A 22672-nucleotide genomic window follows, 5' to 3' on the forward strand; every position below is an offset into this window, starting at 1 on the left:
CAGTAATAGACTCGTTTATTTCTCAGAATTTAGTTTGCTGCTTGATATTACCTGCAAATGTGAGGCAATCACACAATGTCCTTGAGGCTCTAATCCCAGACTTGTCTGAGCACCGTCCACAGGCAGCTCGGCCCATCAGAGGTCTGAAACAAACCTCCTAACTTGGGCCAGGTATTTTGGTTTCAAATAGTCACCCAGCTCATCCTTAGTGACCCACACATGATGGCCCTTATTCCCAGCCTGGGAAAAGTCTCCAGTTAATAGCAGTGCTTTGAAGAAGAACACCTTGGCTCCGAGGTTACTCTCTGTCCGCATTGCCTGGGGGAACTTGAATGTGTAGTGCCCACAGGGTGCATTTCCTAGGAACTTGGCTTCCATGTTGTTTTCTGAAGAGGGAGGAAAGAAAAATCACAATTGGAAGGTAAGGATACAGCCATCTGTTTACTCTGGCTCCCAAAATTATAGGGGGTCCCTGCAAGATCTGGCCCTGAGGTAAAATCAATCCCTAGGAATAGGACTAGAGCCATTCCTGAAAAGAGGCTCCTCCCCTCTCAATCCAAATGCCTCCTGGCCCATGGAGTCCAGATTCACCAGGCTCACTCCCATGTGCCAAGCTACTGTTTTTAGACTGAAAGTCAGCAACACAGTTACAATCACACCTGGGAGTCAGAGCACCTAGTTCCTACATTCAGCCCAGTCGCTATCTGCTGGCGAATCAGCCCAGTCGCTATGCTGGCGAATCAGCCCAGTCGCTATCTGCTGGCGAATCAGCCCAGTCGCTATCTGTTGGCGAATCAGCCCAGTCGCTAACTGTTGGTGAATCAGCCCAGTCGCTATCTGCTGGTGAAGGACGAGGACATTTGGTCTGTAAAACAAAGTTCATCCACCTTTAAAATGGGTGTCACCTGGAAAGCATTAAAAAGGACCCCAGTTTTAACTCCTACCTAGTGAAAAAAGGCATAAACCAAGTTAAAGACAAAAACAGATGAGTAGACAGTATCTGTAATCTATAACTAAGGGTTAACAACCCCAATTCAGCATTTCAAATGATGGGGAAATGATGGACTAATTACTAAACGGCATCTGAAGAACTGATTAGCCAGATGGGAAAAACCAAGCTGGATTCCATACTCAGTCCTCACAATAAAATTGATACCATATAGATCAAAGATTTAACAATAGACATTTTAACTTTTCATAAAAAATTTATTCATTCTGGATGGTTGTTTCATGGACATTTAATATTTTCCAATCTTCTCTGTATTTTTTTTTTCCCAAGACAGAGTCTCGCTTTGTCACCCAGGCTGGAGTGCAGTCGTGCAATCTTGGTTCACTACCACCTCAGGCTCCTGGGTTCAAAGGATTCTCATGCCTCAGCCTCCTGAGTAGCTGGGATTACAGGCATGTGCCACCACACTCAGCTAATTTTTTTTCTGTATTTTTAGTACAGACGGGGTTTTGCCATGTTGGTCAGGCTGGTCTTGAACTTGTGGCCTCAAGTGATCCGCCTACCTCGGCCTCCCAAAGTGCAGGGCATATTTTCTAATTACAATAAAAACACATGAGCATTAGAAGAAAATGCAGGATGCTTTCTTAAACCTTAAGATATTATTTGAGAGGGCAAGGCCTTTCTAAGCAAGAAACAAAATTTTTAAGCCCAAAAAACAAAAGATTTATATTTGTCTACATAAAAATTAAATCTTTCTGCAAGGAAAAATGAAGCACAAAAAAAGTCAAAGACAAAATGACAAACTAGGAAAAATATTTTCAACACGTTCAACAAAGGAATATCTTAAGGTATAAGAAGCACTTAAAAATCAATGCAGATACTCAGGAAGCTGAGGCAGGAGTACTGCTTGAGAATAGGAGTTTAAGGCCAGCCTGGGCAACATAGCAAGATTCCATCTCTAAAGGAAAAAAAATCAATGAGGAAAAAAAACAACAAATTAAAAAGAAAAATGAACCAAGCACATGAACAGTTAAGCTCACATGAAAATAAATATCACTGGCCCATAAATACATTAAAAGGTGTTCAAACTTATTAATAATTTAAAGAAATAAAGTTAAACAACAACATATATCATTATTGAAGTTCAAAAACTTAACTGTACTCTGCTTATGAAGGATAAGGAAAAAACCTGTACTTTCACACATATTTTGGAGGGGTTATAAATTAGTATAAGTGCTATTAATTGGCAAGAGGTGTCAACTTAATTGCACATGCCCTTTGACCTAGCAACTCCAGTTCTAGACTTTTATCCTACCAGATATACTAATTTGCCCATGTGAGCAAAGATGAGCATACAAGGATATTCACTGCAGCTTTGTTTGTAAAAACAGACTGGCTAAACAAACTGCAGTACATACATATTATAAAATAGTATGCTGGTGTTAAAAAAAGCTTAAGATAGGTCTTAATAGGCTGACCTGAAAAGATGTTTAAAAGCGTATATGAGAAAAAAGGAAGGCACACAACAGTGTATAAACATGTTCCCGTTATATGCAAAAAAAGAAAACAAAACATTTATGCATCTGTATATGCATAGAGAATTTCTGAAGAGATACAGAAAAACACTATTAATAGAGGTTGCTTCTGAAAAAGGAAAATTACATCTTACACTACATTTACGAGACACCGATAATTTTTTTACCACATACGTGAATGGCTTTTCTCATACTAAAAAAAAAAAACACTACCTAGCATTAGATGAAAAATTTATAGATAGTGTGAGCTCACATAAAGTAAAAAACGTTAGCAGTGGGTATCTGTGAGTGGTGGAATTGTATTGGCATATTTCTTTACACTTTCCTGAATTTTCTAAACTTAATCCCATAAATGCATGTTACTTTTCTATAATCTGGAAAAGATGGATTAAAAATATAAACAAATTAAAAAGAAAAAACAGCTTATTACAAAGATGAGCGAACGATCTAAATAGGCAGTTCACAAAAGAAGAAGTACAAACAGCCAATAAACACATGAAGATACTGAATCTCACTAGCAAACAGGAAAATGCTAATCTGAAAGAGATCATCTGACTCACTAGACGAGCAAAATTTTAAAAGCAACTATTTCATGTGTCAGTGAGGTTTAGACAAAGAGGCACTCTCAGACACCACTCCTGGAAAACGTCAATTGTTATATACATTCTGGAGGGCAACTGGGCTGCACTTACCAAAAACTGAAGTGTGCACATCTTTGACCCATTAATTCTACCGCTAGAAATTCCATCTTGCAGAAATACTGGCAGTGTGGAGCCAGAGGGGAGGAAAGGAGCGCACTTTCACTTTTTAAATATACAGTATATACTCTTACATTGCTTGAGTTTTTCTTTGCCATTTTATATTATTTGTCAGTTTAGTAAATTTGTAATAAGTCAATACACTATTTTATATGCATCTATTAAACATAAATATGTGTTTTAATATATTTGATATATTTCCTTTTACATTTACTTATTACAATGGCAATGTTTAAAGGAAAGCATAGTGCTTGGGTAGAACCCCTTTCCTCACTGCAAACAGAAAGGGGAGCTGAGCAAGGATCAGTTGTGAATGTTTGACGTTAAGAGACGTTGAGCATCTGGACACAATGATCCTCGCAAGAAACTCAGCTGCTGACTCCTATGTGATGGCTGAGGAGACTGAGAAAGCAGCAACCTCCTCTCCTACCATATTCCATTCTGTCTTGATGTCTCTCCTGCAGGCCACACAGGCCCCTTGGGAGAGTCAAGGGAACACACACTGGCTACCGACATTTCGTTAGCAGGTACTTGTGCTGATGGGAGGGCAGGTAAAGTGGCTGTGCACCACCAAATCCATTTAGTCAACATTCAACAAATGCCTATGTGCCAGGTACTTTGCTGAAAGCTAGGATCAGAGAGAGGAACAGATACTGCCCACATGTTTAAGGAAGTCAAAATTCTGACTAGGGAGAAAAATGTGTTAGTAAACAATTATAGTGCAATGGCATAAGTGAAAGAATGTATTCTCCACTAGAACACAAGCTCCTAGGGAGTAGGGTAGTGTCCTGTTCATCACTGAGACCCTATATGTCTGTTGCATAAATGGAATAAGGACACACACCAGTGCTACGGGAGCCTAGAGAGAGGAGTAGCTCTGTCTTCCTGAAGGCTCAGGAAAGGTTTCACCACATACGGTATAATGTATAAACTGTCTTAAAAACTGAGCAGTCAGGCCAGGAAGGAGTAAAGTATTTCATCAGGGACCAGCAGGCCCCAAAGCAGAGACACATGAAAGACCATACTATTCAAGGAATGCAAAAGGTTTGTTAAGTTAGAACTTGAATTTTACATTAATGAACAGCAAGACGGCAGACTGATGAGACTGGGATCAGGGCAAATAAGATTTGCAGGCCATGCTTGACAGTTAGAATTTTTATTGGAAACCTTTTAAGAATTCCATGCAGAGAAGTGACAAGGGATGTGTGTTTCAGAAAGCTCATTTTGGCAGCACTGAAGGGCACTCCACAAAACCAAGGTTAAACTTACTGGGCATCTAATTCAATAGCTCAGTATAGTACTTCTCAACCACTGTAATTTGCTCCCTGGGAAATATCTGGCCATGTCTAGAGATATTTTTGGTTACTGCACTGGGGGTGGGGTCAGGGGATGAGGTAGTGCTACTGGCATCTAGTAGGTACAGGCCAGAGATACTGCTAAACATCCTATAACACAAAGAATAGCTCCCCACACTTATCCGACCCCAAACACCAATAATGCCAGAGATGGGAAACCCTAGTCTAGTGAGAAGTGAAGAGGGTCACAGCTAAAGCTGTTAGAACAAAGAGGGGACTATTTAGAACAGATCACGAGGGACTCAAGGACTTATGGATGTGGGAATGAGGTCAAGGACAATTCTGAGGTTTCAAGTTGAGTGAACAGATAAGCAGTGATGGCAATAAGCAGTGCTGCAAAGATAAGAAGACAAGCAGGCTGAGAAAATGGTAGAAATATCAATTTTGAATGTACTAAATTTTAAAATCTCAGTGGAACAAAGGATTCTCACCTGGTCTAAAAATAAAAATAAAAAAAAAATAAAAAAAATCCTTACCTGGGTTTTTCTGGCTGAAATTTTTATAAACTTCAAAATTTCCATTAACCTTCCCACCCCCACCCTTAATCCAATTCCCCAGTCAGCCTAAAAATCCTCTGGCTGAGTCTGAAGTGAATTTTGTGGAATTTAGAGGAAGGCAGAAAACCCACCTGAGAGTGTGGCCAGGGTTCGTTCAGCTGTTCCTCGAAGGGTCTCCCCAGGCTGCCACTCTGCCTGGGGCAGTATCCAAACATCCTGGTCTCCAAACTTCTCTCTGACTAACAGGACAAGGTTCCTGTCTAGCTTCCTGTTCAGGGATGTTCGGTCATTCTTTTCATCAGCTTCTACAGCAAAGGGGGTCAGAGGAGGTAAGAAGACTGTGATCTGCCAGAACCAAGAAACCTGGAGTTTTACAATCTTCCTTTAAGATCCACAATCCTTGCCCTCAAAGAGCTTAGAACCAAATTACACCTCGACCCATCTCTCTAACTCTGACCTCTTCCAGGGAAGAGTCTCACAATCTTGAGGAAACTAAAAGGTAAGAAATCAAGAGGTAAGCTTCTTTGAACAGCAAACCATATTTTGAGTCTTCAAAAAAGAAACAATGATCATACTAATTCAAACACAACTACTTCATTGGTTTTGATACTATTACTGACTTAACTAGCCCCTACTTTCTCTGTTCTTCAGTCTTCATCTGTGAAACAAGGAAAACAGAACTCAATCTCCCGCTTTAAGAGGGATTTCACATAAAACACAGGAATTAGTGGAAAAAGGCTTCATTTGCCCCACTCTCAGTCTCAAACTTGGAGTTAAACACAGATAACATTCACAAAGTTTAACTGAGAGAAAAGGCTATTCCAATACCCTTACCTCTCACCCGAAAATAAGACAGACTTTTTAAGTCGTATTATGGTAGATGTGAGCAACAAAGAAAAGAATATGAAATTATTTGTTACTTAAAACACAAAGCAGGGGCCAAGCAACTGTCTTTTATTTGGGAATCCAAATACCCCTTTTCCCTTCCTTCTGGCTGGCCTAAAAGGATCACAACCTGTTATGCGAGCTCCAAGTTTGAACTGTAGAAATTTCTGCTCCCACATATCTTCCAAATCTTGCGCCAGCAATATATCCTGTTCATCTTCTTCATCATGAAGGTCAGCTTTCTTCTTTGCCAGTCGCTGGTTTTCATCCAGAGCACGAAGCTCGTGGTCTGAATACAGGCTTCTCTCTATCTCAATCTGGGAAAATTCAAAGGGCAAAAAACTACCTTAATCTGGCAAAATTAAAAGGAAAAAAAAAACAGGAAGAATAAAACAGAGACATGGCACACTTGGCAAGCTCAGAAGTTTATCACCCAACATAACCAGATACACAGTCAAAACACCATGCAGAAAGGAAATGGAGGGAAAAAAAGGTCCTCTGAACTTTGGGCTTGAGTTACATTTGCCAAAAATGTTACAATGTCACTGGGGGTCAAGAGTGCTACAAAAACAGAGAGCTGGGTTGGGCAATGCCTGCTGACTCACCACAATCCAGTCATGTCAGTCTTTGATCAGAATCTCACTCACCAAGGACTTTCCTGTTCAGGGACTTTCAAGAGGTTGTTCCTTCTTCCTAGAATGTTTTTCCTCACATTCTTTCTTCTGGGAGAGTCCTACTCATCTTTCTGATTTCAATTTAAATATGACTGTCTCAGAGAGACATTTCTCATAAAGAGAAAAACCTGTATTCAGAAAGTCTGAGGCATTCCTTGACACTCACCATAAAATCAAAATGTGATGTATTTGTTAAACACTCTTATAGTGCCTTGTGTTTTCCTTAACAACACTTATCAGGGTCTGCATTTAGTTGTATGATTATTTGGTTACTGACTGATCCCCTCACTCAACTAGACTGAAGTACTCTGAGAACCAGAGCTACTTCTGCCTTATTCATTACAGCATCTCTATCACTTAACATACTCTCTGATGCATAGTATGGGCACAATGAACATCTGTAGGTTGAGTAACAAATATTTGTCAAGCGAGCGAGTAAATGAATAAATCAAGCAAAAAGCACAGAAGAGAAGTTTATAGTTCTCAACAGACCAAGACAAAAACATCTCGGATTCTGAGGAAACATATCACCCTTCAAACACTTTCTGTAGCGACCTCACACCTTCACAGCCACTACACTGTTTTTGCCCATGCTTCCTCACTTGCCCCTCACACAGATAGCCCCATGAGATAAAACAGAGTAGGCTTATCATAGGCATCTGACAGATGTGCCCACCGCCTCTTGTATTTCCTTCTTAACATTCATCACATCACAAAGACTTTCTCCCTCCAGACTTGTAAGCTCCTAGTGACACGGACCGATTCTTGTTCACCACAGGATCCCTATTGTGTTGCATGAACAAGAAGTAGAGTATCTCCAAAGAGTTGTCTAAGGTGACAATAAACACGGCCAATGAAAAGAAACCACTTTTTGTTGAACATCTATGTACCAAACCAAGTCAGTAAGGTAGGTACCATTCTGCGGATAAGTACCGTATACTTAAGTTCAGAGAGGTGAAATTACTCGCTCAAAGTCACGCAGAATAAACGTCACTCTGAACCCTGCATCTCAGTCCCACCTGCTGCAGTAGAGACGCCATCTCTTCCTGCAATGGGGTCAACGGCTTGGAGACTACAGGTGGCCGCTGCAGGCACAACGCGCCCAACAAGCGCCATGGGGATCCGTTGCTTGAGGGTGCGGCTGCAAGAGCCAGGCTGCGAGAGCTTAGACTGCCGGCCCAGAGCCTCTCGAACCGCCGCCAACCCCCCGCCACCCCTAACAGCGTCCGCCTTACGGGCGCCGCCATCTTTCGTTCTCCCACAATGCACCGCGGCTCCCAGGGATCCCTCAGCCGCGGGAGCGGCAAACTAGGGGAAAGCTCAGTCCCGGAACTGCTAGAACGAACCATTCGCATATGGAGGGGGTGACCCACCATCTCAGAACATTAAAAAAGGGAAAGAATCCCCTGGTGAACTACAGTGAAAGTCTTATTGAGCATTTAAATGGAAATAAAAATATTCAGTGGACCTAATGAAGAGTAGATGACTTTCCCTTCTGTCCCCTCCCCGACAGGCACTCATGGTACCGGCGCCGGCGCAGCTGTGACTGTCGCTGCAGACGGAAACTGACTGGGGTCAATTCAAGTCATGCAGGCTGTGAGAAACGCGGGGTCGCGGTTCCTGCGGTCCTGGACTTGGCCCCAGACAGCCGGGTAACAAATGACTGCCCCCTCGAGCCCACCGCCACCTCCAGGACTATGCTCCTACTCGTGTCCCTTGAGCCACCCGGGCCCCAGTGACCGTTAGGCCGTGGCCCTCACCGAGCTTTTCTTCCCAGCAGGGTCGTGGCCAGAACGCCGGCCGGGACCATCTGCACAGGCGCTCGACAGCTCCAAGACGCTGCGGCCAAGCAGAAAGTTGAACAGAACGCGGCTCCCAGCCACACCAAGTTCAGGTGAGCCCCACTTGGACCAGCCCTCTGGAGACCCGCAACCCCTGACTCTTGCCCGACACCCTCCAGAGTCAGAACCAGTGAATTTTCAGCTATGTCACTTGCTATCCGTGGGACCTTATGCAAATAAATCTGAGCCTCAGCCTTCTCATCTAAAAATGCGGATAATGCTGAGAGAGGTTGTGAGAATCAGATGAGCCGTGGTACAGAGTAAATGTTCAGTGAACATTCGTTAAATCAATGAGTGAATGTGAGATATCCATAACATGTATCAGCGTTCTTTTCTTCTGAGATGGAGATCTTTTCAGACCAATAACCTTCCCTGCCTCCAAAACAAAATGGGGAGGTAGAGGGCGCTAGCGATGGAACAGATGTTCCTGCACGTCTTACGGATGGTCCAGGGTGGGTTTTGTGCTCAGCCCTAGGAACTGGCATCTTGCTTCCCACCAGTGCCACCACCTCTGTATGCTGTATACACATCCACTTAACTTCACATCCATTTAACAAACATTTACCAAGAATCTACTATGAGTGAGACACCATGCTAGGTGCCGTGAATACAGATACAAAAGATCATTCCTCCCCACAAGTAGTTCACAGTCTTTGAGGGAAGACAAACATGCAAACATTTTAACCATAATCTGCTCAATAATATAATGGAGGTAAGCATTGGTTGGAAGTATGAAATCATAAGTGTCTAACTCCTGGCCGGGTGCAGTAGCTCATGCCTTTAATCCCAGCACTTTAGGCGGCCAAGGTGGGCGAATTACTTGAGGTCAGGAGATCGAGACCAGCCTGGCCAACATGGCGAAACCCCGTCTCCACTAAAAGCACAAAAACTAGCCAGGCGTGATGTCTGGCACCTGTAATCCCAGCCACTCAGGAGGCTGAAGTAGAAGAATCGCATGAACCCAGGGAGCGGAGGTTGCAGTGAGCCAAGATCACGCCACTGTACTCCAGCCTGGGTGACAGATTGAGACTCTGTCTCAAAGAAAAAAAAAAAAAAAAAGAATAAGTGTCTCATTCCTGAGGAAATCAGGCAAGACCATGGAGAAAAGAACATGGAGCTCAGAAGTGAATGGGAGTTCATCTGGACAAGTTGAAGTGGGTCATTGGAGACAAAGGTAACCATCTGTGTAAAGGCATGTGGTATGAAAAAACATGGTGTGTTCAGGTGTGTATGTGATGGCAGATGAGGCCAACAAGACAAGAAGGCATCAGAATGCCAGGGGTCTTGTCTGTCACACTGGAGCTTTTACGCTGTCCCCACTGAAGGCAGTGAGGAGCTGCTGAAAGCATCTAAACCAAGATTCTGTTGTAGTCATTTCTTCAACAATGCCAGGCACTGTTCAGAGTGTTGGGGATATATCCCTGACCAAACAGACAAAAAGCCCTGCCCTCATAGAACTTAAATTCCAGTGGGTAGAAGACAGTAAATAGAAAACAAGTAAAATGTAGGAGTATAACGGTTGGAAAGGGGAAGTGGGGGTCAAGCAGGCCTGCATAGCCACATTCTGTAGGACTTTGTAGGCCGTTGTGAGGACTTCAGCTTTTACTGTGAATGAAATGGGAGGCCAATGGAAATTGCTGAATAAAGGGTTGACATGATCTTGCTGACAAGATCTTGTAAGCTCTTTGGCTGCTGTGTTGATATTAAACCATTGGAGAGCAAGAATGGAAGCTGGGAAAAGTCCTCTAAGCAGTTAGAAGACTATTGAAATAATCCAGACAAGAAACAATGGTGGCTTGGACCATGGTTATTGCCATGGAGGTATTATGAATGGTCTGACATATTTTGAAGGTAGAACAAGCAGGATTTGTTAATATACAGTGTGAGAAAAAGGAGCGAAGGAAGACCCCAAATTTTGTTGGCCTAAACAACTGGAAAGACGGAGTTGTCATTGATTAAGATGGGGAAGACTGCAGGAGTTTGGATGGGAGTTGTTAAGGTTGAGATTCTTAATAAACATTCAAGTGGAGACACAATGTAGACCATTAGAAATGGAGCTCAAGGGCCGGGCGCGGTGGCTCACACCTGTAATCCCAGCACTTTGGGAGGCCGAGGCAGGCGGATCACCGGGTCAGGCATTTTAGACCAACCTGACCAACATGGTGAAACCCCGTCTCTACTAAAAATACAAAAATTAGCCAGGTGTGGTGGCGTGGGTCTATAATCCCAGCTACCCAGGACGCTGAGGCAGGAGAATCACTTGAACCCCGGAGACGGAGGTTGCAGTGAGCCAAGATCGTGCCACTGCAGTCCAGCCTGGACGAGACTCCATCTCAAAAAAACAAACAAGCAAAAAAAGAAATGGAGTTCAAGAGTCAGACTTCAGACTTTAGCTAGAGATATACAGTTGGGAGACATCATAGAGATGATATTTAAAACCATGAGATGACAAAATCATTAATACCATAAATGTAGATGAAGAGAAGAGGTCCAAGGACTGAACCCTGGGGCGCTTTCACATTTAGAGATTTGGGAGACTAGGAAGAACCATCAGAAGAGACAAGGAACTTCCAGAGAGGTAATAGGAAAACCAGGAGAGAACATTTGTTTTTTAATTTGGCTCAAGGTGGGGAGATCAGCTGTGTCAAATGCTGCTGATGTGATAGGTTGCTAGATCAATAACAGAATTGCCTATTATATTTAGTAATGTGGAGTTAGTTGGATTAAAGCATTTTTGGTGGAGTGGTAGAGGCTAATATCTGATTGAAATGGGTTCAAGGAGAATAGAAGCAGAGGATAGGAAGAAACAGCAAGTATAGTCAGTACCTTAAAGTTCCTTAAGAGGGCTCTGCTATAAGGGAATAGAGAAATGGACAATAGCTCCCAGGAGGTGGGTTCAAGAGGTTTTCGAGGGTTGTTCTGTTATTTTTTCAGTTTGGAACATAACAATATGTTTTGCCATTGGGAGCAGTGCAGTATAGAGGGGAAAAAACAAGTGATACTGGAGTGGGAACATTGCGGGAACAGTGTCCTTCAGGGGCTAATACACAAGTGGAGCACTGTAACAGGAGAGAGCGCAAAGGCTGTGGGCACAGATGTTCAGTAGTGGGAGCTGGGAGAAAGTCTGATTGCTTCTATTCCCCTGTGGAGGTCATCCGCTCAGCAATGAGGAAGCAGGGAGTTGGAGGTTAGAGGAGACAAAAGAAGCTATAAAAGAGTCATCTAGGAGAATGGAAGGATAATTGAACAGGGTATGTGCTGTATGATTGCGAGGCAGTTCTAATCACTTCTAAGGTCAAACCCACAGGAAAGAATATAGTTGTAAACTTTGAATACCAATGTGTTTTTGATTTGCCTTTTAAAATACCTCTAGAAAAGCAGGTAGGGCTGGGGCGAGAGTAGTCCTTAGATTATAATATAATTTCTAAAATGGAGTCTATTGTATTTCAAGTGGCTGTGGTGGGTACAAACATGAATCTGATATATGTGTGTAGGCCTAGAGGAACAGCAAGTTTATTTCCAGCTCCATTGCTGAAGGATGATTGTGTGTGTTCAAATTTTAAAAAGCACAGCTTGGTGAGCAAAGCTCTAGACTGAGACAGATCTACTAGGTCCAAGGCTTGGCTTCTCTTGCTAACCCTATTTCCCTATTGGTACCTAATTTTCACCATCTGAAAATAAAAATCCTTATTTTCCTTAAGGATTTCTTAAGGCATTCTTAATTGTATTAATAAGTTAACTTATTAGAGATGATAAGTTAGATGATAACTTAGCTAGAAATAGCCAGAAGACAGCTTGGACTAAGACAGTGGAAGATCTTGAACGCAACACAATGTGTTCACATCTGATTCTATTGGGACATTTGCAACATTGATTTCCATACCCCATCCAGAAGTCCAGGGTGAAGCTTAAACATCTGTATGCTTCACAGCTGACTGATGTTCAGCCTGCATTGAAAACCACTGGTCTAGGGTAGAGGTTGGCAAACTATGGTCGACTGGGCAAATCTGGCCAATTGCCTGTTTTTGTAAGTAAAGTTTTATTGGAACACAGCCTATTAATTTACTGTTGTCTGTACCTGTTGTTGGGATATAGTGGAAGAGTTTAGTAATTGGGACAGAGACCTGTTGGCCCGCAAAGCCCAGTATATTTACTATCTGGCCCTTTACAGAAAAAGTTTGCTGTCCTTTATTCTAGGGGATTCTGGGTTTTTTTTAATGGTAATGATATGAGTATTATTTTTGTCTCATTTTTTGCAATGTAGAGTCCAGATATTGTCTATGGTTGATGAAATAAGAAACAGAGGTTTGACTGTATTTTTTAAATTGTGGGAAGAGGAACCTACAAAGGATCTGAAAATAATGAACACGGGTATACCTGCAGGGACAAGGAAGATGGGGAGTATGCATGAAAATCCCTTCTCATAGCGGAAAGTCCCCAGATGTGTCTGAAGTCAGCAAGTCAAGAAACAGCATCATAAGCACAGCAGTCACACATGCGGTGGTGGCACCAGAAGGACTGAAAAGGAATGGTGGGGGCAGCCACTTAAGAAGCAGCAGGGGGCACAGAGCTGTTATTTTTTAACCATGTGTTGTATTTCTTTGATTTTTAAAAAGTCGAGACAATTTTAAATAAAATCTTTCTTCTAATTGCAGCATTTACCCTCCCATTCCAGGAGAGGAGAGCTCTCTGAGGTGGGCAGGAAAGAAATTTGAGGAGATCCCAATTGCACACATTAAAGCATCCCACAACAAGTAAGTGGGAAGGGAAACACTGGGCAGGTCTAGCGTGAGATTCTTTCCACTTCACAGGGAAAGTCAGGCTTGGCCCTGAATACCCCGGGGTAGAAGTGAGGGTGCTAAGTGCTGCATGATGGCGCTAATGTAGGGCACCGTCTTCCTCCTCACTTGAGGAACCACCTGCCATCTTACACAAGTTTCATAAAAATGTGAAATAGGGTGGGCATATCCTAGTTATAAGAATTCTTTGCTTTCCTTGAGAATAGTGTTTCCTGGTTTTGCTCAAGAGTTGGAAGGAGTGTATGAGGGGCATATGGTCCCACCATGAAGGTGTTTATTAAGTGTTGCTGGTAGGGAATGGATGATATATAAATTAAAAGATATGATTCAAGATATTAATATGATTTATTAATACACTAACCAGAATCTAGACCTCTAAATAGATATTGTCCCTTTAAAGTACTCACCACTCTGGGCCACTGTGCACTGGCCTCCACCTTGTAGAGCTAAATGTGGATGGTGAGTTTAAAGTGACAAGACTAGTGTTCTTGTGTGGCTTACAGACGGGGACAGTGCCAAGGGAATTCCCAAACATATGCTGCCAACAGAAGCATTGCTGGTATTAGTGACAACTTTACAGGTTGGCCCCCACTTGGAAATGAGATCAGTATTTGGTCACAGCCAACCCACCCAGCAATTTAGAGACCAGCACAAGAGACTACAGTCATGGGCTAAAGTGTGTGGCACAGATGAAATGCTATAGGATTCATTTCAGCATTTGTCAGATAAATGTAAAGTGACAGCAATTGGATTTCTTTTTCTTCCCCTCAGACTAATAAGGACATAGGCTAACTGCATTTAAGTGTCTATGGTCTACTCTATACAGCACTGTTTAGGCTGTCACAGAGACAAGCAATTACGCATCTATTCAATATGGAAAACCCTAGAAGCTCTGGTAGGGGGAATGTCAGAGCCATAGCCAGGATAACAAGTGGATGGCCCAAGCCCGGGGCTGACTCCAGCAGGCCTCCCCTTCAGTCACTTCTCCTGCCTCCTTCTGTGAGCTCTCAGAGCTCTCCAGACCAGAAATAGGATGATGATGACTAAAGGGGAAATCAAAGCATATCTGAGGATTTCTTAAGGCATTCTTAATTGTATTAATAAGTAACTTATTAGAGATGATTAAGAAAAAGTTGTGGGTGGATGCAGTGGCTCACACCTATAATCCCAGCACTTTGGGAGGATCACTTGAGGCCAGGAATTTAAGACCAGCCTGGGCAACATAGTGAGACCCAGTCTCTAAAGAAATACAAAAATTAGCCAGGCGTGGTGGCATGCACCTGTAGTCCCAGCTACTTGGGAGGCTGAGGTGGGAGGATGGCTTGAGCCCAGGAGTTGGAGGCTGCAGTGAGCTATGATTGTGCCACTGCACTTCCAGCCTGGGCAACAGAGTGAGACCCTGTCTCACAAAAAAATAAAAAAGAAAAAAAGAGAAAAGTTTTACTTGTTTAAAATAATTTTTGATCATGGAATATAGTGTCATAAGCATCAAAAGTATCCAATATGAGGCCGGGCGAGGTGGCTCATGCCTGTAATCCCAACACTTTGGGAGGCCAAGGCGGGCAGATCACCTGAGGTCGGGAGTTCAAGACCGGCCTGCCCAACATGGAGAAACCCCGTCTTTACTAAAAATACAAAATTAGCCAGGCATGGTGGTGCACGCCTGTAATCCCAGCTACTCTGAAGGCTGAGGCAGAAGAATCACTTGAACCCGGGAGGCGGAGGTTACTGTGAGCCAAGATCGTGCCATTGCACTCCAGCCTGGGCAACAAGAGCAAAACTCCATCTCAAAAAAAAAAAAGTAGCCAATATGGTAATATTGCTAATATTTTTTTAAGAGTCCTTCTTTTAGAGCTATGTACTGAAATATTTACAGACAAAATGATAGGTCTGGGATTTGCTTCAAAATAATCCATTGGTGAGGGGAGTGGGGTGGGAACAAGGTTTATAGATGAAACTGAATTGGATATGAGTTGATAATTGTTGAAGCTGGTTGATGAGTCCATCAGATTTCTTATGTTATTCTCTTCACTTTTGTGTATATTTAAAACTTTCCCCAATACAGTCATTTTCTGGGTGATACTTAACTAACTACTCTCAGATTATGGAGCGCTCTTTAAATTATGTGACTTACCAGTTTTCAGTCAGGTTTAGGGGAGAATTCTGACCTTTCCTGATACTTCCTGTAGGAGTTCAAAACATGTTCATCTGAGAAGCTCAAAGTAGAAGCAACTGAATTCCTTTTTCTTTCTCACCCAGGCTTCTAGGGGCATAGATTAGCTCTCTCTTATTTCCCTGAAGAAGAGTTGTATCCTATGTGCTTCTTCTACTTTTCTCAGCACACAGATCCAGGTAGTCTCTGCTAGTAATGAGCCCCTTGCCTTTGCTTCCTGTGGCACAGAGGGATTTCGGAATGCCAAGAAGGGCACAGGCATCGCAGCACAGACAGCAGGCATAGCCGCAGCGGCGGTAAGTGTGTGTTCCTTCTGCTTCCTTCTAGTGTGTGTTTGCTTTCTGCATGGCTCATCACTGAGTGGAGAATCCTCATTATACTACCCATTCAGAAGCAAGGGTTTGTCATGGCAGCTTTGATGCCCTGATTGGAGCATTGGTTTGAAAAGGTTTAGTGAAAGGCTCCTCTTTTTTCTTTCTCTCAGCTTCATTAGAGGTGAAGCCCTTGTTGGTTCATTCTAGGATGTAAGAGCCAAGATACCAAAGGCTTGAGAACCAAAGACCCCTCAATTTAAAAACCGTTAGCCAGGTCTGGTGGCACCTGCCTGTAGTTCCAGCTACTTGGGAGGCTGAGGCTGGATGGCTTGAGCCCAAGAGTTTGAGGCTGCAGTGAACTATGATCTCACCACTGCACTAAAGCCTGGGCAACAGAGAGAGACCCTGTCTCCAAAATAAATTAAAAATAGGCCAGGCGCGATGGCTCACAGTTGTAATCCCAGCACTTTGGGAGGCCAAGGCAGGCGTAAGAGATCGAGACCATCCTGGCCAACATGGTGAAACCCCATCTCTACTAAAAATAGAAAAATTAGCTGGGCGTGGTGGTGCGCGCCTGTAGTCCCAGGTACTCGGGAGGCTGAGGCAGGAGAATCACTTGAACCCAGGAGGTGGAGGTTGCAGTGACTCGAGATCACACCACTGCACTCCAGCCTGGTGACAGAGCGAGACTCCATCTCAAGAAAAAAAATAAAAATAAAGACCAGTGGTTTGGGGTTGGGAGAGATATGATAGTCTATTTGGAGAGGACATAGTATCGTGGGGACTCATGCAATAGCAATACCAGTTCCAGTGTGAACTGTCGTAGACCTTTTTTAGAAGCAAATTGGCAAGGTGCTGCTATTGGTATAGTTATTGAGCATCTACATGTGCCAGACACTTTACATTCATTATCTTGAATCTTCAGAGACCCTCAGTATTATCCACATTTTCATAAGCCAATTGAGATTCAGAGTGTGTGACTTGCCCAGAGCCATGCACCGATTCAGTTCACTGATCGGAACCCAGATTGGTCTGGGACCAAAGCCTGCACAATTTCTACTATAGTACAGGCCTTACAAATGTTCAGACTCTGCCAAACCAGATGTATTTCCTGAAGGAAAACCTTGACCTTCAAACAAGGGAAGGCACCCCAAAATATTGATTGCATGTACTATCATCAGAAATCAAAATGCTGTAAATGCCCAACCATGGACAGATCATATACTATGAAAAGAAGTATGTCACTGTTCACAGTGGCTTCTGCATGGTGAGTCATGAATGATTTCTGTATATTTTCCCATTTTTATAATGAACTGCCTTTATTATCAAGAAAGTAAATTTTAACTCTAACTGCTTAGAGATTTTAAATGATAATACTTTTAAAGTGGGTATTTAGGTTCAGCCTTGAAGCCTAGGGTGGCGCCTCATGGTCTGAAATTCTGCATTTGCCCCCCTGAGAAAAACCTGAGCAATATTTAGAAATTTCCATTAGGTGGCGGTGCTGTCCTAGGCTAAACAGATCACAGTCACGTGAATTCTGCAACCTGCCAAATTCTGTGGTCTCTGCTGGCGCCTGTCCTCCACTATAGCCATCTGCCCTTTGCCTCCCTGTTTACTTCTCTGGATGCCCTTTCCCTGAGCTCACACACCCCTTGCTCTAGGAGGCAGTAGCAAGAGATTTGGATGCAGTAGTTCTCTCTCCGGGGCACTAACCACTCTGCTTCTCTCCAGAGAGCTAAACAAAAGGGCGTGATCCACATCCGAGTTGTGGTGAAAGGCCTGGGGCCAGGACGCTTGGTAAGTTACAGTGATTTCCATAGTGTACTTGCCTCCTAGTAAGTGTGAGAATTTGGGGCTTGAGAGCAGAGTACAGGGAGAGTAGAAAACACCTTTTAGTGGATTTCCATGTTTGCTTGAAGTTCCCGTCTGTTGTTTCTATAATTGACCAAGCCCCTCAGAGCAAGCCTAGATCACTTAGTATAATTCATCAGACACTGAGTGCCTGCTGCGTGCCACGCACTGGGAATGGGAAGGTGGTTCCTGGGGGAACTGTCACAAACAAATCCCTTAGGACAGACTGGTGAGCGCTGTGGTAAAGCATGTGCCCAGATCGCTGGGAGCCCATCAGGGGATCCCGAACCTAGCAGGGATAATCTTTCCTGATGATCATTAGCACAGATAATCTTTAGCTTCTTCAAAGAGGTGACATCTCTCTGACTTTGCAGGAATAATGAGGTATCAGGGAGGTGGAGGCACAGCAGGTACGGGGGGACATTGCAGGCAGAGAAAACTGCCTGAGTAAGCTACAGAAGTATGATACCCAAGGTGTGCCAAGGTCTACAAGAAGTCTTTGTTCGCAGATCGTAAAGTGCAAAGTGGAAAGTGGTGGGTACAGTTTGAGAGGGGAACAGTGTGAAAACCTGGTTAAAGGGTTTGGGTGGAGACCTTTGTGAGAGTAGAATAGGATTGGGATTATAGGTATCAAAGCCAGTGAGCATCTCACCCCTCCGTTCCCTTCTCTACGCCACCCTGTCCCTCTCCGAACCCTGCCTGGAGACACTGGATCATCATTTCTGGGACCATGTCATTCTACTTTTCCTTCTGTTCCTTCCAGTCTGCCATGCACGGACTGATCATGGGCGGCCTGGAAGTGATCTCAATCACAGACAACACCCCAATCCCACACAACGGCTGCCGCCCCAGGAAGGCTCGGAAGCTGTGATGGGAAGGAGGCCTGCACTTGGACCTGACCTCAAGCCTCAGCTCCAGTGGGACCTTGTAAAATGCTCCCTGTCAGAGCTCTCCAGAATATGCTTGTTGGAGATCCTTCAGGCAGTAAGGGAGAGTTTTGCCTCCTTACACAGTGGCCTTTGCTTGCACCTCCAGCTGGAGATGGGTGTGCCCCAGAAGTAAGCTTTGCATCTCTTACAAGAGGGGAGCTACAGGGGCAGCCGTGGCCTAGGCCCAAACTCTGCTCTGAGAAAATAAATATCTGTACCACCTGTCATAATTTTGAGATTTTTTGCTTTCAGAGTTACGTAATTCCTAATTCCTCTTGAAAAAGAGAGTGTGAAATGAGGTGAGGCCTCAGATGAAAGTAAAATATAAATGTGAGTTGCTATTTACCAGACACTTCTGGTTTCAGATATTTCTTTTCTAGCCCCTTACCCAAGATTTCTAGAGCTAATCCTAGTAACTTTTCTTATTAATGACTTATAATTTGGCCCCAAATTGGAGCTTTTTGCCACCTACCTCTGGATTCTGATGGATTTCGCCATTATGGGCATGTTTAAAGTTAGCCCTAAACACAGGATTTTCTACAAGTGGACAGTCAAACTCCCCACACTAAAGTGGCAGTCATCGTTTACACTCCATGGGCTTCAGCAGTCCCAGCACTAACGAGAGAGTGCCCTAAAAGCGGGGAGGGTAGAGTTGTACAAAACATGATTCTTGGCCAGGCACGGTGGCTCACACCTGTAACCCTGGCACTTTGGGAGGCCAAGGCGGGTGGATCACTTGAGTCCAGTTAGAGACCAGCCTGGGCAACATGGTGAAACCCCCTCTCTACTAAAAATACAAAAATTAACCAGGCATGGTGGTGTGCGCCTGTAATCCCAGCTACTCTGGAGGCTGAGGCATGAAAATCGCTTGAACCCAGGAGGTGGAGGCTGCAGTGAGCTGAGATCATCCTACTGCACTCCAGCCCAGGTGACAGCGAGACTGTCTCAAAAAAATAAATAAATATAAATAAAAATTTAAAAAAATTAAAAAAAAAAACCTGATGATTCTCTAGAAAATAGGGTGGATGGCAGGATGGGCTTGAGTAGAGTCCAAATCTAGAAGTGCAGAAAGCAAGTTGATAAGGAACCTGGGTAGTGCTGGCAGTGGGGCACAACTCAGGACCCCCAGGCAGGACTGACTGCTCCTCTGTTGGGGCTCTAGGGTTCCTGGATACGGCACAGAGGCCAAAGGTGGGGGCTCTAGAGACACGACCAGAGAGTCCCCTCTTCCACAGGCAAAGACTAAGGGTGAGAGTATCACCAGAAGCTGAGAAGGAGTGGTCAAGTACACAAAAGCACTGTTCCTCCCAGATGAGTGCAGGAAGGGCTGCTGACCAGAAGGGGAAGGCACTGTGGAGTTTTACTTCTGTGTCCAGCCAGCTAAGTACTGTGATCTGCCTGAACTCAGTATAGGAAAAGACACAGATGCCCCCTTAAATAGGCAAGAGGCTGTGTTAGGACAAAGAAAGGAGGAAGATCACGAACCAAGACATGAATTTAGAGGAAAAATGCCTCCCTACTGCCTTCTCTTTAGTCCTTAGCAGGTCCTATGAAGGCCATCTTGTGACAGTGACCAAAGAAGCCCAACCGGAGGCTTCTTGGATCAAAGCCACTGTCGGAAGGAATTAGACTGTTTCACCGCAAAACTACATATAAACACAATGCATTAAAACATGGTGCACTTGAAAATTGCACTTCGCGATTTGATATGGTTTGGTGGACAGAGGGCCCGTAGCCATCAGACAGTTCAATCAGGGTCTGAGCAGGAAACAGCTCACAAGGTTTAAGAGAAAAGCTCAATGAAAGCTCTTTGCAGAGGCATGGGTAAGATTAAGGAAATAAAGAAGGTGGACTACAAAGCAGCTGCCACCCTAGGCTAGAAGAGGCAGGGAAGAACAGTTCCTAGAACCTGGCAGGAGCTGCCACAGCAGCAGAGTGCACCTCTGCCAAAACCATGGCCTGAGGGAGAGGGAAGAAATGCCTGGCTGTTCCCGGCCTGTAGTCCCTTGCTGGGGTCCCCCTTGGCTGATCCCAAAAGGAAGCAAAAAGGAAGGGAACTCAGTGTTGTGGTACTTGGAGGCTCAGCCTCCCAGGCTGCAGAGTGGATCTGGAGGGGCACGTAGAGGATAGTAAACACAGGAGGCTTCTGTGGCTTCTGTAAGTCCTCCATACACCATAGGTTTTTATTTTGGTTTTGGTTTTTGAGTCTCGTTGTCACCCAGGCTGGATTGCAGTGGTACGACCATGGTTCACTGCAGCCTCAAACTCCTGGGCTCAAGTGATCCTCCAGCTTCAGCCTCCTGTGAGCATCTGGGACTACAGGCGCATGCCACCACACATGGATAATTTTTGTATTTTTTGTATTGAGACCAGGTCTTGAACTCCTGGTCTCAAGCAGTCCCCCCACCTCGGCCTCCCAAAGTGCTGGGATAACAGGCGTGAGCCACTGCGCCTGATCCACACACCATAGTTTTTAAAATGTTATTTTACTCACAAGAGGGCTTTGGAAAGGAAGATCCTGCCCAGCAGAGCCTACATGCGCAGACAGGACAGAGGACCCTTAAGGATCAATGGTCTTGTTGCCGGAAATGGATGTCTGGCGCAACCCCCGGAGCTAGTTTTGGGGAGGCCGCCTTGTTGACTGTGCACTGGAAAATGCACATTGCTTTATCGTGAGCTCTCGGTGCACAGTGTGGTTTCCAGGCTCTGAGTGGCCAATAAAGCTGGTGCTGTCTTAAACTGTACTGTCTCTTAATCATTTGTCTTGGCCTCTCAGAGACTGACCTTCCCACCCCCATGAGAGACCAAGGTACCTTCACTGAAGGCTGACCAATCTAGGCGGTGATTATTTACCTAAAATGCTGGACTGCCCTGTCCCTGCTGCCACAGCCCATCTCAAACAGCAGGTCTCTCCTTCCTGAGAAAACAGGTGGAATGTGTGCTTGCACTTCCCACAGGCGGAAAGATGCAAGCCCAGCATGTGGGTCCCAAGTATTTGCACAAGCAGGGTGTTGGCATCAGCTTGTGTGACACACTTTGTTGTCTTCTGGCAGCAGAGCCTCAGATTATTTCTACGGATGCATCTGCAGCTTTGCTTCTAAGGCTGGCTGCACAGGACTGGCTACATAAGGAAAGCCTGTCCTCCTACACTAGCAAAAAAACAGATGCAATTTCTTTCCTTTCAGCATAGACGCGACGTTTTCACATCTTTCTGCCAAGGCTATCACCTGACACCGAGATGTACGGTCACTGCCAAAATAAGCCTGTTTACCACTAGAGTCCCTGAATGCTAGCAGAATTTCACGGGCACCTTGGGAGAAAGCATTTACCAACTCTATTTGCCTGTAACCAGGCTCTGACATGTCTCTTTAAAAAAAAAAAAAATGCATATATACCTTCCTGCTGGACTTTATTCTTTTTCTCTACTCATTTTTCTCCTATTCTGGAAAGACACATTGCTTTTGAAACCTGGGTACTATCAGCCTAAGGTGATGAAGCTGTCACTTGCCAAAGCAGAAATTATCCATTCACCAAATTAAGCCAACATGGGCTAGTCCACAAACATGGAGGCCAGGCACTGGGGGAACAGGGCTGGAGCTGTCCCTACTCTGGAGTTCACGCTCTGAGGAGGCAGGACAGGTATGTGGCTGAGTTAGAATGGAATTCCATAAAAGAGGCACAAGTGATATTGGCGTTGGAGTGAAAGACCCGTCCCCTCAGCTTCAGGGCCGGAAGGGAAGTCTTTGTGGAGGAGAAGGCATGCAAGAGGAACCATGGGTGAATGAGCATCCTCAGGAGCTCAAAACAGCATGCAAGGCTGAGGGGTGAGAGGTCATCAGGTTCCTGGTTCCCACTGAGTTGACATGGTGGGTCACACGGTTCGGACTGGATAGGGAGACTGGATGGAGAGAATAGCTTACCAGAGGATTCAAGAGAAAGGAAGGGGTCATAAAACTTGCAATCAGGCCAGGTGCAGTGGCTCACACCTGTAATCCCAACACTTTGGGAGGCCGAGGCAGGCGGATCACCTGAGGTCAGGAGTTCGAGACCAGCCTGACCAACATGGAGAAACCCCGTCTCTACTAAAAATACAAAAAATTAGCCCATCGTGG

At 44.4% G+C, this 22672-nt stretch overlaps 2 protein-coding genes across 11 annotated transcripts, besides 2 other annotated features; one reads left to right on the forward strand and one right to left on the reverse strand.

Moving 5' to 3' along the window:
- On the reverse strand, nucleotides 1–7911 carry MRPL46 (mitochondrial ribosomal protein L46). Its single transcript, NM_022163.4, has 4 exons — nucleotides 7673–7911; nucleotides 6110–6296; nucleotides 5226–5399; nucleotides 1–386 (listed from the first exon to the last, which is right to left on the reverse strand). Exons 1-4 carry the CDS (start codon nucleotides 7898–7900, stop codon nucleotides 136–138), a joined length of 840 nt encoding a protein of 279 aa, NP_071446.2. The 5' UTR covers nucleotides 7901–7911; the 3' UTR covers nucleotides 1–135.
- Nucleotides 6246–7445: an enhancer, noted in NCBI's record as "CDK7 strongly-dependent group 2 enhancer chr15:89008954-89010153 (GRCh37/hg19 assembly coordinates)". NCBI's record gives its function as "activates an origin of replication core promoter dependent on BRD2, BRD4, P300/CBP, MED14 and CDK7 cofactors, with strong dependence on CDK7, by STARR-seq in HCT116 cells {active_cell/tissue: HCT116}" and the evidence as "EXISTENCE:reporter gene assay evidence [ECO:0000049][PMID:35650434]".
- Nucleotides 7912–8081: an enhancer, noted in NCBI's record as "active region_10027". NCBI's record gives its function as "activates an Ori minimal core promoter by ATAC-STARR-seq in GM12878 lymphoblastoid cells {active_cell/tissue: GM12878}" and the evidence as "EXISTENCE:reporter gene assay evidence [ECO:0000049][PMID:35858748]".
- Nucleotides 8231–21299, forward strand: MRPS11 (mitochondrial ribosomal protein S11). Of its 10 annotated transcripts, none has more exons than NR_135918.2 (6): nucleotides 8231–8305; nucleotides 8431–8547; nucleotides 13150–13248; nucleotides 15695–15762; nucleotides 17512–17577; nucleotides 18395–21299. NR_135918.2 is itself a non-coding variant. In NM_001321972.2 (6 exons), exons 2-6 carry the CDS (start codon nucleotides 9592–9594, stop codon nucleotides 18500–18502), a joined length of 480 nt encoding a protein of 159 aa, NP_001308901.1. In that variant the 5' UTR covers nucleotides 8231–8305; nucleotides 8431–9591; the 3' UTR covers nucleotides 18503–21299. The 10 variants fall into 10 exon arrangements, 7 of the variants coding, with proteins under 7 accessions (NP_001308901.1, NP_073750.2, NP_001308899.1 ...); NR_135917.2 differs by having other exon boundaries at nucleotides 13170–13248; nucleotides 15633–15762; NM_001321972.2 differs by having other exon boundaries at nucleotides 8431–9668; nucleotides 15633–15762.
- The last annotated feature ends 1373 nt before the right edge of the window (nucleotides 21300–22672 follow it).

The sequence above is a fragment of the Homo sapiens genome, chromosome 15 (assembly GCF_000001405.40).
Source record: "Homo sapiens chromosome 15, GRCh38.p14 Primary Assembly".
Lineage (NCBI taxonomy): Eukaryota > Metazoa > Chordata > Mammalia > Primates > Hominidae > Homo > Homo sapiens.